Raw genomic sequence first — 14,558 nt, forward strand, 5'->3', positions numbered from 1 at the left:
CATTAGCCTTAGCCCATTCAGGGTTTTCCACTCATATCACACAGAGCTTTTGTGTGTTGGTGAGCCAGGCCAGGTGAGCCTTGAGAAGTGATGTGGTTCTTGATGTTTCAGGGGAAGTAAAGAGGGAAATCGTGATGTCTTTGAATTTTAGGACAAGATGGGGGGAAACTGCAGCTGGATTTATATATAGGCTCTCCAGTGGGGCCATATGTGGGCATCTAGGGATAAGTGGTGGCAGGAAGATCACCTGCCGTTAGCCCAATGATAATTTGATCACAGATAGGTACCTCTGGGAGGCTCCCAAAATAATTGGAGACATAAGAGAATTCCCAGGAAGAGAACTAAAGAGCACCCCTGCTCTCTAGAAACTGGGAGCAGAGGGAAATCATGGGATGGTTAGAGAATAGTATGAGATGGCATGTGAGAGAGTAACAGAAGATGTTACAAGATCCTAGGAGCAGTTGGCATTTTGAGGAAGGAGAGACTGGGACATTGGGGTAACCTGGGATGGCTACCTGGGATGGCTGCCTGGAGGAGGTGAGACTTTATCAGGGATTTGGGAGGAGAGTACATTAGCCAGAACGTTTAGCTACAAAGATCAGAAAGTGCATCTTGACCTGGTTAAAGCAAAGTTAAAAAAAGAAAAAAAAGAAAAAAAAAACCTTATGTTTTGTTTTGTTTGTGGCTCATATAAACACTACGCTCAGGGTGAAGCCTATGAACCCAGGTGCTACAAAACTGTGGTCCACGCTGTGGCCGTGTGTTCATTTCTTAGCTCTGCCTCCCCTGGGTTGGGGTGGTTATTTAGCAGCTTGCTACATGGGGCTGTAAAGATGCCCCTGGCAACTCCAGTTTTCAAGGTCCTTGTATCCTGTGTCTCAAAGCATACCTGCAGGATTTTAATATACGGAGGTGGCCACGGGATGACACAAAGGGGTCAATGGCATTGAAATAAGACCTTTGTTACTGAACAGCTCATGAGAGAAGGGGCATACTACACCACAAGAGGCCTCAGAGAGAAGCATCAGTTTTGGTCAGGAGGCAGAGGGAGTGAGGGGGAAGCCTCTGCCAGAGCCTTTATTAGGGTTTCCTCAGGCAAGGCAAGGCATTGGGTATGGGTGTGGGGGGTAGTTAGTTTAGAATTGGCTATTCTGAATAATTCTGTCAGGCTTTGGGGCATAGGGACTTGTGTCTAGTGGTCTGGTACTTGAGCTTGGGTTGATTTGGGGCAGGGGAAATATTGCCTTGGGGAGTGAGAGTTGAATAAAGGAGGTGTTTAGGGGTATGGACTCAGGGTTGGTTGGTTTGCATATGAAAGGCGTGTAGTCAGGTGGAGTTTATTATCTCTAGGAATCAGCTAGTCCTGGGAGAGGCAGTTTCTCTCCAGTTAGAGAGGCCACAAATGCCAGAGCATCAATACTACAGAAAATAAGCAAATATTGTTAATACAATTGGCCCAATGAGTGGATGCCCAATAGATGAATACCGACTCTAAGAAAACACAGGACATCCTGCGAGCATCTTTTTCTTCCTAGCTTTGATGGGATGGAGTCCTGTGATTGGTCAGTCCTGAGAGACGCACCTACGCCGGGAAGGCCAGGCCAACCTCGTTGGGAACACAGGAACATGTTACTGCAATGGTTGGAGGGATGATGATGATGCTTGGCTGAAAACCCTGTGTCTAGGGGAGAGAAAGGATTCTGCTGTGGTGGGCTGAGGGCAGGGGCATTTCAGACATAGGAGGAAGAGGCAGGACAGAGATGTTAGCCATTTATGAAACAGTCTTCATACATTACTGTCTTCAAACTATCTTGCCTGCTCCTTCCCTTGTCAATATCTCAGATGAATGGGTTAGCTTTCCTGTTAACTTCTGTAATTGACTCATTTTCAGGTATTAAAATGTCCAGCCTAGTTTCTATCAAATCCAGTCTTGCAGCCTTTTCCAGTCTTCTTCCTTCCTCTTGTCTCAGCTTGACTTGAGCTGGAATCCTGGAGGAGGGGAGGTTGGGGAACTGGGACTGTCTGGCATCTTCCTCCCTCCTTGCCCTCTTATCTGCTGCTGTGGGTGTTCTGTCCCCTGTGTGTGAGCCCTGAGGTGAGAGGACAGATGTTATCCTGGATAGGCTGTTACAAGGCATCAATTCTATCAGGGAGTGGCATCTTCTGTTGGCTTTCATGGGGCATCATGGTTTTCTCAGGAAGGATCTCTGTGTGACACTATTTCTGGGTATGGGTTTCCTGTTCTCTGGGTGACCTCATGGGACCTTTCTCTCGCTCCCCTTTCTTGCAGGATACCCTACAACTAACAGGCATGATGCCATCAAGACATCTTGAGCCTGGCTACCTCCCGTGGCCTGTATTTTGTCCACAGGAAACTCGCGCAGTCTCACTACAGCAAATTGAGGTGGTATGGGGTGCCTGCTGCTGCCTCTCTCTTCACCTTTCCACAGAGGGCTGCCCCAGCCTGACTCCCACTTCCAGAGTTTCTCCAGGTAAGAAATGGGTGTGAATCTCTGTACATATACGCTGTGGTGGGCATGCACCTCTCCTTGCTGTCATATTCCATGGGGTGAAAGTCGCAGTTAGCACCTGTCACTTTCTTCCTGTGGGCTCTGCTCAATGTACCAGGGGAGCTGACATGCCTGGGAATAGGAGTCTGTGGATAAATACCCCAGCTTCCTTGACTTTATTTGGGACACAGTGTGTGCATGATAGTCATCAATGGGTTTGAGCTCCAGTTGCCCACAATGGTCCCTGCTCATTAATGCATGCTGTATTGGCTTCCTTTCCATCCTTCTCTCATTTTCCTACTTCCCTCTCAGTACTTCCTGGAATATTTCTCAAACTGCTGTACTTGAGTCTTTAGCACAGGGTCTGATTCCAGGGGGAACCCAGCCTAAGACATGTGTCCTTAAGCTCCCAAGTACACACTCCCAGGATGGTTCTTATCTCATCTCATCCTATCCTAGTTGAGGGTGGAATGGGGCTCCCAGATTCCACAGCTCAGCAAGCCACCAGCCATGGGTATCAGGCTGGTCCCTGAAGCCAATCTCTTGAGCAACCTCCTATGCTTGGTGGCTGCTGTGCCTTCCATGCCTTGTCCCTTTCTGTACCTCTTCCTGAGTCACAGTGCTCTCTGCCCAGGGTGACAACTCTCAAAGCTGACTATCTTTTTACTTCCCCATATTTCTCTCAAACATTTACTCCTCTCCTTATATAGATTGGAGTGGGTGATGGGGATACTCTTAGGTCTTAGTGGGTGACCTGTTAGGCCACCTCTTAAGAAGTCTGAGGGTGTGTGTCCTGCAGCTCCTCTATAGAATATGGGGCACTTATCACTTATCTTATGACAAATTTAGCTCAGGGACTTAGTCAGAGAGAAAAGTCCCACTCACCAGCTTGTTTCAAAATACAGTTGATGCACATACACCTACCCTGAGACCCCGCAATTCTACTCCTTCATATGCACCCAACAGAAATGTGCTTGTATGTTCATCAACAGACACATACAAGAAGGCTTATGGCAGTGCTATTGGTGATATCACAAAACTGGAAAAAAAGCCAATGCCCATAGACTGTAAAAGAGATTATTATATTGTGATATAATCATACGGTGGGTTACTACTCAGCAATGAGAATTCATGAACTACAACCTCATGTAAAACCATGGATGAAACTCACAAACATGGTTGGGGCAAAGAAGCCAGACACAAAGGCATATATACTGCGTGATTCCACTTATAAAGAGTTCGAAGTCAAACAAAATTTACCTGTGATGTAGAAGTCAGGCTCATGCTTATCTTTAGAAGGGAGGCATTGACTGGGAGGTACCACGAGATGAGCTTCTGGAGAGCTGACCATGTTTCATTTCTTGACCTGGGTGATGGATGTCTGGGTGTGTTTACTTCATGCAAATTAATCCATCAATACACTCAGGATTTGTGCATCTTTATTACATATGGCATGCTTCAATTTCTGTATTAATATATGAATACCAGGCCAGTATAAACCTGCTGGGAGCATGCTAAGCCTGACAAGAGGAGAAAGAGGTCTCATTCTGAGGGAGTTGCATGAATGAGCAAGTAAGTACTGTCAGGAGGCAAGAGAATACCTCTGGGATAGGATTTCTGCAGTGTTTGATCAAAAGTCCAGAACATATAACTGAACAAGTAAGAATTCATTGAATTGACATCACTCTCTTGGAATGTAAGATTTAATACCCTTGCAAAAGCCTGAGGAGATGGGACAAACTCACTGCTAAAGAAGCTTCTAGAAGCCTAGAGAAGGCAATGGCCCATACTGAGATGAAGTAGAAATAGCTGAGTTTCCCCGGCAGGAGGAAAAAACCTGAGGGAAAGGGACATGCAGTATATGAGGCCAGAAGGCCCATAGAGGATATGTTTCATTGGAGGACCCAGAGGACACACCATTCACCAATAACATTAGGAATGCACTGGTGAGAAGCACACCAGTCTCCCAAGTAACTCATTGTTGGTTCTCCTCTGCAGATTAAGGCTGCTGATAGGAGAGACAGATGCAGAACTGGACCATTAGGAAGATGATGACTTCCTAATATATCAGAAGCCAGAGGGCTACAATTATCATAAAGACTGGCAAGGTCAGAAGGGCTGCAATGGTGGCTTGAACTGAGAGCATGGATAACAGAGCCTGGCGTCCTTAGAGGCAAAATATTTAGGCAGCCAATAAGGCTGCTGCCTAACATTTACAAACAGAAGGCAAATATGGAGGAACAGAGGTGGAGAACTTCTGCTTTCAGCCAAGATGGAGTAGCAAGTTTCAGATTTGCTCTTGTTCCTGAAACAACCAAAAATACACAAAATAAGTGAAACATTAGTTTTCTAGACATGACAATTTAGGCAATGAAGAGGAATAACCTTTCAGAAATGGGAATCAAATGAAGGGAGCCCTATGAGTGCCCCATCTTATTACCTTGAGAGATTTTCCAGTTTATGGCACAGAAAGGGGAAACTCAGGTAGACTCTCGAGTTCAGAAGGCAGAGTTCAAAGTTGGGAGAGAAAAAGGCAGTTAGAGTTTGCAGGATGGTACACTGGAGAAGAGAATGCTGCACAGGGGGATAACTCTAGAGGTCTACGGAAGGATTCCCTCAAGTATTCAGAAAAGAACTGATAAATACCTATGTGTCAGGAAACTGACCAGGGCTAGGGATAGAACCATCCGAAATGATTGTAAGGAATAGCACTCCATACTCACATAGGGCTGGAAATAGTGCTTGTTTCCATTAGCCATAAGGGAAAACCTAAAGATTCATGAGGCATTGGGTAGAATACACAGAAGGGTCTTGACTCAGTTGTGTGGAATAATTTGCTGTAGATTGGACATTGTTCTGGTTCTGCCTAATGAATCTTAAAAGCAAGACCCTGAAGGATCAAACTGTTTCTGCATAACTGAACTGTATCCAAAACAAAGCTCAAGAATATTTTTAGGAATTAAAAAATCCAGCATACACAAAAGTGAAATCCACAATGCTTGGCATTCAATAAAATATTACTATGCATGAAAAAAAGCATTAAAATATCTCCCATAATAAGGAGAAAAATCAGGCAAATAAAATTGACCAAAACTGACACAGAAGTTAGAATTAGCGGACATTAGTTAATATTTAATAATTAGTATGGACATATTTTAAAAGTTAAGTAGTGATATGCAATAGAAAAAATGATCCAAATTGAACTTCTAAGTCTCATAGTACAATATGTGAGATAAAAAATACACTGCATAAGATCAATGGTATATTAGATACTGCAGAAGAAAGGATTAGTGACTTGAAGACATAGCAATAGAATCTATCTGAGCTGAAATACACAGAAAAAAGGCAACAAGAACAAAAACAAACAGAGCATCAGTGAACTGCGGGACAACTTTATGTGACCTCTTATATGTAGAGTACTCAAAGGAGAGGAGAGAGAAGTATGGATAAAAACTTTGAAAAGTAATGGCTAAAATATTTCCCAAATTTGATAAAAACTATAAACCCACGGATTCAAGAAATTCCACAAAATTGAAGCACAGGAAACATGAAGAAATCCATAACAAGGCAGATCATAATCAAACTACTCAAAACTGGTTGTAAAAAGAAAGTCTTAAAAGCAGCCAGAGGGGAGAGAAAAAGAGTCTTGGTATACACAGATAAAGACAATGGTGACAGAAGATTTCTTGTTGGAAACAATGCAAATGGGAAGATAGTGGAGCAATATTTTTTAAAAGCAAAGGAAAAAACATATCAACTTAGAATTCTATACTCAGAAAAAATATCTTTCAAAGGAAGGAGAAGTGGCCCAAGTTGAGAATATGTAGAGATTCCTGGACAGAGGCCAATAGCCTGGCTTCCTGGTCAGAGTCCTGGAAGGAAAAGGATGAAAGGATTGGAGACAAGGAGGTCTGAGGTTGAGACATATGGATGGACATATGGACATTGGTGTGAACTCTGAAGATTTTTTTTATCACATATTAACTCTGACAAGAAGCTATCCACCACAGAAGAGGCACTGAATAAGAAGACAAAATGACTCAGCCAGTTGACTTTAATCACCCTTCATCATTGGCCACCCCAGAACTGGCAGAATGGACAAATGAATAGAATGGTCATGATTGTAGAGATAAAGGTTAGTATGGGTCTCATTATGAATTTCCACTAAGGAAAGACAATGTAGCTACTGCTGCTACTGAATACCTAACTTGCCAGCACCATGGACCAATACTGAGCCTCTAGATCTGGCACTATTCCTCAAGGAGAACACTGAGCCACTTGGTAGCAAGTTGACTACATTGGGCCCCTTCTATTCTAGAAGGACCAGTGGCTCAACCTTATAGGATAGATACCTGTTACAGGTATAGTTCTGCCTTTCTGCCTGCAGAGTCTCAGCTGGCACAACTATTCAGGGATTTGTAGAATTCTTGATTCACAGACATGGAATCCCACACAATGTAGCATCTGTCTAGGGAACCCATTTTATAGTGAAGAAGGTGTAAAATTGAGTCAGTGACCATAGGGTCTACTGGTTATATCACATACCATATCATCCAGAAAGAGCTGGCCTCATAGAGTGCTAGAATGGCCTTCCAAATGCACAAGTAAGTGCCAGCTTGGAGGCAAGGCCATCAGATGCCATCTTTCAGAATGCAATACATGCATTCTATCAGAGATCCCTGGGTCCCAGATAGGAAAAGTACATGGACTCAGGAACCAAAGAATGGGAACATCCCTTAACATTATTCCCACTGACCCTGCAGGGAACTTTATGCTTTCCATCCTCCCAACTGTGGACTCTGCTGGGATTAAAGATTTTGGTTCCCAAAGAGGATATACTCTTGCCAGGGACACAGCAAGTATACCATTGAATTACAAAACTACCACTGCTACAAGGGTGCTTTAAATACTTTGTATCCAGGGGCCAGCAGGTAAGAGAGGAGTCACCATCATGGCAGAGATAATTGATCCTATCATCAGGAAGCGACAGAGCTGCTAGTACACAATGGGGATGAAGAGGAATATGTGTGGAACTTGGTATTCCCTTTCCCCATTGTAACAGTGAAGGAACACATGCAGAAAACACAACGTAAGAAATGCATGATAAGGCCGGTTATGGTGGCTCACACCTGTAATCCCAGCACTTTGAGAGGCCAAGATGGGCAGATCGCTTGAGCCCAGGAATTCAAGACCAGCCTGGGCAACATGGCAAAACCCCGTTTCTACAAAAAATACAAAAATTAGCCAGGCATGGTTCACCTGCAATCCCAGTTACTTGGGATTTGTTGCTTGGATGCATCTGTAATCCCAGTTACTTGGGAGGCTGAGGTGGGAGGATGGCTTTAGCCGGGAGGCAGAGTTTGCAGCAAGCCGAGATCACGCCATAGCACTCCAGCCTGGGTGAGAGAGCGAGACTCTGTCTCAAAATTGTACCTAAATTGGTACACCTTCTCTGCCCAACTCTCCTAAACACCTTCCCTTCTATATTTCTTCACTGTGGGGTTCTATTTTCCCTTTCATGGATCTGATCCTAATTAGTGATTGTTTTATATTTCCGTGTGTGTGTGTGTATGTGTGTGTGTGTGGTCCTGCTCCTTCGAAATGTGAAGTTTGTGCGGACAGGATGCTTTGAAGGATACCTGCATTGTTTACTGCTGTGCCCATGGTACCTGGCACATGACAGGCATTCATAGTTCCCGTGGGCCTCTCTTTCTGAGGGGACACTTAGAAGAAGGGAGGTGGCAGGATGAGCTACAACACCCATTGCTCCATTGATCTCAGGACCACAAATGGTACCCATCTTCTTCCTCTTCCACTACCTTTCCTAAATTCCTCCCACCTTCTCCAGGTCTTGATGACTTGTTGGTGGTGTGATACCTGTTAAATGAATGTTCAATAAATGGTGGGAAAATTGAGGAAGCACACATTAAACATATAACAATGCTTTGAAAAAACCCAAGTGCTCTACTTTCCAGAAGTGCCCACTCAGTGATCTGGTAGTATTTCCAGCCTCAATCACCAAGGCTCTCCCTGTGGCTGTTTGGAGCATGGGCCCAGGCCCCAGCATGGGGAGGCACCAGCTGGGAGGATGCTGAAGCCTCCTGGCTGCATTTCACCAGAGGCCAGATACACATTCATAAGGTTGAGATGATGAGCCATCCTCTTGCTGGAGTGGGTACTTTAGGAACATTACCCCTTGAAAAGCATCTCTCTGGGATAAATGCTGAACAGGGTGTTTATCTTCAGAATGCGAAATGTATGAAGTGCTGTAATTAAACCAGCAGGGGTGGGGATGGAGCACTAGCTCCAAACAGTTTCTTTGAAGATGAAAGTCATTAGATTTCAATGAAAATCTAGGATGCAGCATCCCACTGACACAAGAATATTTAACCTACATCCTAGAGCAGGGCAAGCAATTGATAGTATGATTGATAATAACTTGATTGCAGTAATTGCGAAGGGGAATTTGAAAATGGTTAGATTAGCAAGAAGCAGGCAATGAGTTGATGGGATCTTTGTGGAGCCAAATTTTCCTAGAATGTTGAATGTTGAAGTTTCTCCACGTTCTTTTTTTTTTTTCAGCCAGGAGAATCCTGAAATCTCTGTAAATAAGCAATCCAGGAGCCAGAGAATCATGGGATCTCATATAAACAAATCATCAAGGAAAAACACAGCCAGAGTCTCCATTTGGTAAACCTCCGTGACTGGGGATCCCCGGCCACCCAGAAAGCAGTATTGCCTGCCATGCATGTCATCACTGATTTTTACTGCTGCAGCAGACTCCGTCAGACCTGCCTGCTGCTTCAGCGAATTGTTCAGTGCACACCACCAGCTACCTGCTGTAAGCATTCACACTCCTCTACCTGCCTGGCAGCATTTCTCAGCTGAACACAGGCCAGGCCAGAAGTGCCAGGGATTTAATGCCCTTAGAAGTAGCTCTCTACCAATGACAAATGGAGCTGGTGGATACATTCTCAGCTTCCTCCCCTCTCAGGTGGAACAGCCCTGAGATGTGCTCTATGCAATCTCCCACAAGTCCCCAGCAGGCTCAAGCTCCCATTGTCCAACCCTGGTAACCTGCTCATTGACACCCCTGTCTTGCCTTCCCTTCCTGGCCTCACTTTCTCACTCTCTTACTGTTGCCTCCTGAGATCGCATCCAAAATAAATGACCTGCACCCAGATCTGTGTCTCACAGTCTGCCTCTGGGGGAACTCAAAGTAAGATAACTGTCGAGTGTTTTCAAGGGTGAGATGCAAACCATGGACAAATGGTTCAGCTGGGGCACTGAAAGGGCTGCCAACTGCAGTACCAGGCCTTACCTCCTGACCTGTGCATGGCCATGGGAGGGTGGGGATGCGTGAGGAAGTTATCTCCTGACTTGCATCACTGCAGAGGGCTGGAAGTGCTGGATACTGTGGTTAGGCACCAGGGGAGGCCCTCAGGGTTTCAAGGCAGTGGTAATGAACCAATAAGCACAGAATTATTTCAATATTTTGTCTGATGGAGCTATGCCAATGATTGCTGTTTATCAATTCTGAATATATTTGAAATTTATAAAAATTATTTCAGTCACTTCTGGGGTCAGGGAAGTAATAGAAGTGAATGAAGCAGGCTAAGTGTAAGAAAAATCAAGCAGCTGACCCAGTGTGGTGACTTACGCCTGTAATCCCAGCACTTTGGGAGGCCTAGGCAGGTGGATCACTTGAGGTCAGGAGGTTGAGACCAGCCTGGCCAACATGGCAAAACCCCGTCTCTACTAAAAATACAAAAATTATCTGGGCATGGTCGTGGGCGCCTATAATCCCAGCAGTGAACCAAGATCGTTCCACTGCACTCCAGCCTGGCTGACAAAGCAAGAGTCTGTCAAAAATAAATAAAGAAAGAAAGAAAGAAAGAAAGAAAGAAAGAAAGAAAGAAAGAAAGAAAGAAAGAAAGAAAGGAGGGAGGGAAGGCAGGCAGGCAGGAAGGAAGGGAAAGAGAGAAAGAAATAAGAGGAAAGAAAGAAACAAAGAAAGAAAGAAAGAAAGAAATCATGCACCCACATGGACACATGGATATTTATTTTTCCATTTGATTGACGGGGTAGAGAAACACAGCAGCCAGCACAAGCTCGCTGACAAATGTCAGTGATGGCAGGGTGTTGGGAGACAACAGGGTGGAGACAGGAGTGTCCTTGCCTTTCTTAAAGGGGCGACCATGTCTCACTCCAATCAGTTGTTACCTTGTGAGATATGGGCCTGGTGGTGCCAGCTTTCTAAGAGACTTAGAAATTTTAGATTCTTGGCCAAGCATGGTGGCTCACGCTTGTAATCCCAGCACTTTGGGAAGCTGAGGCAGGCGGATTACGAGGTCAGGAGATCAAGACCATCCTGTCTAATATGGTGAAACCCCGTCTCTACTACAAATACAAAAAATTAGCCGGGCGTGGTGGCAGGCACCTGTAGTTCCAGCTACTTGGGAGACCGAGGCAGGAGAATCACTTGAACCCAGGAGGCAGAGGTTGCAGTGAGCCGAGATCACACCACTGCACTCCAGCCTGGGCGACAGAGCGAGACTTCATCTCAAAATAATTAATTAATTAAAAAAAAGAAAGTTTGGATTCTTATATGACATTCTTCAGTTTCAAATAATTTAAAACCACTATGTGAGCCAAGTGAAACATAAGTGTGTGCTGGTCCAATGAGCAGGCTGCCAGTTGGTGACCTCTGTCTTAAAGAGTGGATTTGAATTCAAAATTGCCTCCCATTAACTGGCATCCCCCACTGGGTGGTGTTGCTGACCTTGCCTCTGTCTCTACCCTCCTCTCACTGAGCTTCCTCCTAAGTTGCTTGCATCTGATCCCTTGCACTTTTGTATGTGGAGACACAGAATGCAAAGGGCTGAAGCCCGGCTGGGACCTGCCTTCCTTGGTTATCTGTTCCTAACCAGATATACTGCAGGACCTCTCTGCACATGGAGAGAGTTATGTCAAGGAGGCCTGAGTGGAGACTTCCTGAAAATGATGCTGCTGAGGGAGGAGGCGCTGAAGATGGGTCTGGATTCATGGTTGAGGGAGCTATGGAGTTTAGCTTGGAGAAGACTCTGTGTGTGTGCATTATGTGTGTGCAGGTGTGTATATGCATGTGTGTGTGTGCCTGTGTATGTGGTGGTGGAGGCGGAAGAGTGGCAGAGGAAAGCAGGCAGATAGCTGAGAGTTACCTTCATATGTCTAAAAGGAGAAGAAGGCACCTTTCTTCCTACAACTCAAAACTAAGATTAAAAGTAGAAGAGAGAAGGTCAAGCTTGCTGGTTTTTGTTTTCTTTTTTTCCCATTGCACAAATTCTCAAAAGCTTAGTTGAGAGTGACAGATTTGCAACTCAGGCTGACCTAAGCAGTAAAGGGAGATTACTGGTTTATGTTACGACAGGGGAAGATGGACTTCAGGGATTGCTGGATACAGGTGCTCAATTATATTAGCATTTTCTCTCTCTCTCCCTCAGTCCCTTCATCTCTCTGCTCTATTTTCCTCTGGACCAGCTCCATTTTCAGGCAGGTTCTCCCCTTTTGGTGATAAGACAGCTGCAAGTATCTCTGGATACATATCATCACAACTTTTATTGCTTCCCTAATGGCTCAAGAAGTCTCAGGTAAATCTACCCATAAGTCAATCCTAGAGCTAGGGGGAATGGAATGTGCCGGTCAGGTGGGCTTAGAGCATGCACCCATCCCTGGAGCTAGTGGAGGTGGGCTTAGCTTCACCAAACTACATGAATTGAGAATAGGGAGGGATGGTTTGGAAAGGAAAACCAGAATGCCTTTGCCAGAGGAAGAAGAAGAAGGCATGGCCAATAGTATGGTAGAAACCACCAAAATCTACTAGATCCATCATGAAAAATCAAGTGACATTACAGAAACCCTGAAAGAGGAGAGACAAAAATATTCATCTCTAACCTTATCACTGGAACTCAACTATAGGTAATATTTTAAATTGAATTTTGCCCCCCAACACCTTTACACTTCTAATTTATTTTAAATTTATGTGTAAACATAGTAACACACATTTGCTATCTTGCTTGTTTTCCAACCCCGAGTCTTTTTTTCCCGAGTTGCTAGAGATTCCTCATTGACATCATTCTTTACTTATTTAGAGGCAAGGTCTTACTCTGTCACCCAGGCTAATGTGCAGTGGCACAATCACAACTCACTGCAGCCTCAAATTCCAAGTGACCCTCCTGCCTCAGTCTCCCAAATATCTGGGACTACGGGCGTGTGCCACCACACCCAGTTAATTTTTCTATTTTTTATATAGGTGGGGTCTAGTTATGTTGCCCAGGCTGGTCTCAAACTCCTAGCATCAAGAGATCCTCCCACCTTGGCCTCCTAAAGGGCTGGGATAACAGGCATGAGCCACCACACCCAGCTGGCTTTTCTATTTTTGAATGGTTCTCATATAAATGCCTACATAGTGTCCTTGATTTTGCCTCTTGACTTGAAAAGCTGGAAAATATTTATTATCTGGATCTTTACAGGAAAAGTTTTCAGATCCCTGGCTTGGAAAAACACCAGATAAGAGATTCGTCTCCTGAAATGGGCAATGTGTTTATGATCACTAGGGAGAAATAAATATTCCTCCTTTTTAGGGGAGAAACAATGAAATAACCATCATTCTTAATGAATGAAGGTGACAACCTCCCAGGCACTGGAGGGGTACTCCTGGGTCTGCACAGCCTCTTGTCAGGGAGGCTATGGAGGGAGGAATCCCGTCATGAGTGGGAGGCTGGAACCCAGGACTTCTGAGGATTTGGTGATGTGACTCCAAGTCTGTGACCTCCTTTCTCTGGTCACCATAGAGGGAGGGCTTGGGAGAATGGCTTTGGCCAAACGGGGCAGATGCTGCTCCAGTCCTCACCCTCTCCTGGAGTTTGACTCCAAGGCCTGGAGGGGGCCAGGTGTTTGCAGGGCTCAGTGGCCGGCCAGCACTTTGAGGAACTGCTACCTGCTGACAGCATCTCAGTTGAGAGGCCTCCCAGATCTCGTGCTCCACCACTTCACGAAACAGGAAACTCCGAGGCCTGTGGAAAGAGCTTGCTCTTTGGGAAAACTGAACACCCAGCTCAATGAGGAGCCACCATCAGGAACTTTGGAGATTTAGCCTAAACTCAGAGGTAGCTACTTTGATAGCTTGGTGATTTGAGGAATAATGTTACAAGCTTTGTGGATCAAACGTCTCACAATACCTTGCAATTTTTTTAGGAGAGGCAGATGGCTGCAATGAACCTCAAAAGGTCAACCAGTCCAGGAATGATAAGTCATCTCATGTGTTAATTCTGATTAGGTGCACGGTGTTAAGAGAGATTCTGAGGCTGCATTCTGGTTCAGGGGAAATTAGATTGACTAGTAATGTCTGCCATGGTCTTTCGATGCTAAAGTGATGGTGTGCATGTCAAGAACTTGGTATTCTTGGTATAGTTTAAACTGTGTTCCTTGCCCAGAGTCACTGCTCCTTTCTCTGCTCTATTATTTCTAGATTCTCCATCCACCCATCCCTTTAATGATGCAGTTTTGTGTACCTTTATGCACTAAGTGCCAGGACATAGTAAGGAATAAAACACATACCAGTTCTCAAACAGCTCAAGGGTCCCATCAAGGCTTTTGAGAATCTGCACATTAAAGCTTCACTCCCTGGGCTGGACAAGGTGGTTCATTCCTGTAAATCCAACACTTTGGGAGGCTAAGGTGGGAGGATCGCTTCAGCCCAAGAGTTCAAGACCAGCCTGGGCAAGATAGTGATATATTATCTCTACAAAAAATAAAACAATTAGCCAGGTGTGGTGGGGCACGCCTGTGGTCCCAGCTACTCAGGAGGTTGAGACAGCAAGATTGCTTGAGCCCAGGAGGTCAAGGCTGCAGTGAGCCATGATCACACATGCACTCCAGCCTGGGTGACAGAGCAAGACCTTATCTCATATATATACACCTCACACCCAGGAAGCCAGCAGGGAGGAGGAGAACTCAGCCCTCAGGCAATGGAGATGAGGTCTCCAGAAACTCAGCAACGTGGGGTGA

The 14,558-nt window shown here is 45.0% G+C and overlaps 1 long non-coding RNA gene across 19 annotated transcripts in view; it reads left to right on the forward strand.

Annotated features, from left to right (window-relative positions):
- LINC02128 (long intergenic non-protein coding RNA 2128) overlaps window positions 1–9,691 on the forward strand; it is a 61,006-nt gene extending 51,315 nt beyond the window's left edge. For 18 of the 19 annotated variants that reach the window (NR_184285.1, NR_184286.1, NR_184287.1 and 15 more), the window contains 2 exons: window positions 2,291–2,492; window positions 9,093–9,691. This is a non-coding gene — a long non-coding RNA (long intergenic non-protein coding RNA 2128). Of the gene's footprint in view, window positions 1–2,290; window positions 2,493–4,508; window positions 4,733–9,092 lie in introns of those variants that run through there. The other variant, NR_184303.1, reaches the window with a different exon arrangement.
- The last annotated feature ends 4,867 nt before the right edge of the window (window positions 9,692–14,558 follow it).

Source organism: Homo sapiens, chromosome 16 (assembly GCF_000001405.40).
Source record: "Homo sapiens chromosome 16, GRCh38.p14 Primary Assembly".
Classification (NCBI taxonomy): domain Eukaryota; kingdom Metazoa; phylum Chordata; class Mammalia; order Primates; family Hominidae; genus Homo; species Homo sapiens.